The 1,507-nt window shown below is 48.6% G+C and overlaps 1 annotated feature.

Annotated features, from left to right (window-relative positions):
• Positions 698–1,237: an enhancer, noted in NCBI's record as "NANOG hESC enhancer chrX:1104952-1105491 (GRCh37/hg19 assembly coordinates)". NCBI's record gives its function as "activates a minimal SCP1, AML or CMV promoter by ChIP-STARR-seq in primed H9 embryonic stem cells {active_cell/tissue: H9 hESC(primed)}" and the evidence as "EXISTENCE:reporter gene assay evidence [ECO:0000049][PMID:30033119]".

The raw sequence follows: 1,507 nt of genomic DNA, 5'->3' as shown, positions 1-1,507 counted from the left end.
CCCCAAGCCCCCGGCACCCACGACTCTATTTTCCGTGTCTACAAATTTGACGACTCTAGGGACCTCATATAAGTGGAATCCTAGAGTATTTGTCTTTTTGCATCTGGCTTCTTTCTCTCAGCGTCATGTTCTCAAAGGTCCATCCGTGTTGGAGCAGGTGTTATGCGATGGTTAATACTGAGCGTCAACTTGATTGAACGGAAGGATGCAAAGTATTGTTCCTGGGTGTATCTGTGAGGGTGTTGCCAAAGGAGAATAACATTTGAGTCAGTGGACTGGGAGAGGCACAGCCACCCTCAAGCTGGGTGGGCACCCTCTCATCTGCTGCCACCGCAGCTAGAATAAAGCAGGCAAAGGAGCGTGCAAGGACTAGACTGGCTGTATCTTCCAGCCTCCATCTTTCTCCTGTGCTGGACACTTCCTGCCATTGAAACTCAGACTTCAAGCTCTTCGCCTTTTGGACTCTTGGACTGACACCAGTGGTTTTACCAGGGACTCTTGAGCTTTCGGCCACAGACTGAAGGCTGCCATGTCAGCTTCCCTACTTTTGAGGTTTTGGGACTCAGACTGGCTTCCTGCCTCCTCAGCTTGTAGACGGGCTATTGTAGGGCTTTACCTTGTGATCGTGTGAGCTAATTCTTCCGATAAACTCTTTCATGTACGTCCGTGTGGAGACCACCAAACAGGCTTTGTGTGAGCAATAAAACTTTTAATCACCTGCGTGCAGGCGGGCTGAGTCCGAAAACAGAGTCAGGGGAGGGAGATAAGGGTGGGGCTCTTTTATAGGATTTGGGTAGATAAAGGAAAATTACAGTCAAAGGGGGTTTGTTCTCTGGCGGGCAGGAGTGGAGGTTGCAAGGTGCTCAGTGGGGGAACTTTCTGAGCCAGGATGGGCCAGGAAAAGGATTTTCACAAGGTAATGTCATCACTTAAGGACCGGCCATTTTCACTTCTTTTGTGGTGGAATGTCATCAGTTAAGGCAGGGCAGGACGTTTTCACTTCTTTTGTGATTCTTCAGTTACTTCAGGCCACCTGGGCATATACGTGCAAGTCACAGGGGATGCGATGGCTTGGCTTGGGCTCAGAGGCCTCACAAACTGCCCTGCATATATTCATCTATTTTATTAGTCCTGTCTCTTTAGAGAAACTTGACTAATACATGTTAGCATTTCCGTCTTTTTAACGGTGAATACCATCCCACTGTAGGTTGACGTCAGATTGTTTGTTGTTTGTTTTTGCTGTTGTTTGTTTGATTTTGTTTTTTGTCTTTTCTTTTGAGACAGAGTCTCGCTCTGTCACTCAGGCTGGAGTGCAATGGCACGATCTCAGCTCACTGCAACCTCTGCCTCCCGGGTTCAAGCGATTCTCCTGCCTCAGCCTCCTGAGTAGCTGGGACTACAGGCACCTGCCATCATACCTGGCTGATTTTTGTATTTTTAGTAAAGACGGGGTTTCACCATGTTGGCCAGGCTGGTCTTGAACTCCTGACCTCAGGTGATCCGCCTG

Source organism: Homo sapiens, chromosome X, assembly GCF_000001405.40.
Source record: "Homo sapiens chromosome X, GRCh38.p14 Primary Assembly".
Taxonomy (NCBI): domain Eukaryota; kingdom Metazoa; phylum Chordata; class Mammalia; order Primates; family Hominidae; genus Homo; species Homo sapiens.
Note: the sequence above shows the minus strand (reverse complement) of the source record. Positions and strands in the feature narration are given on the sequence as shown.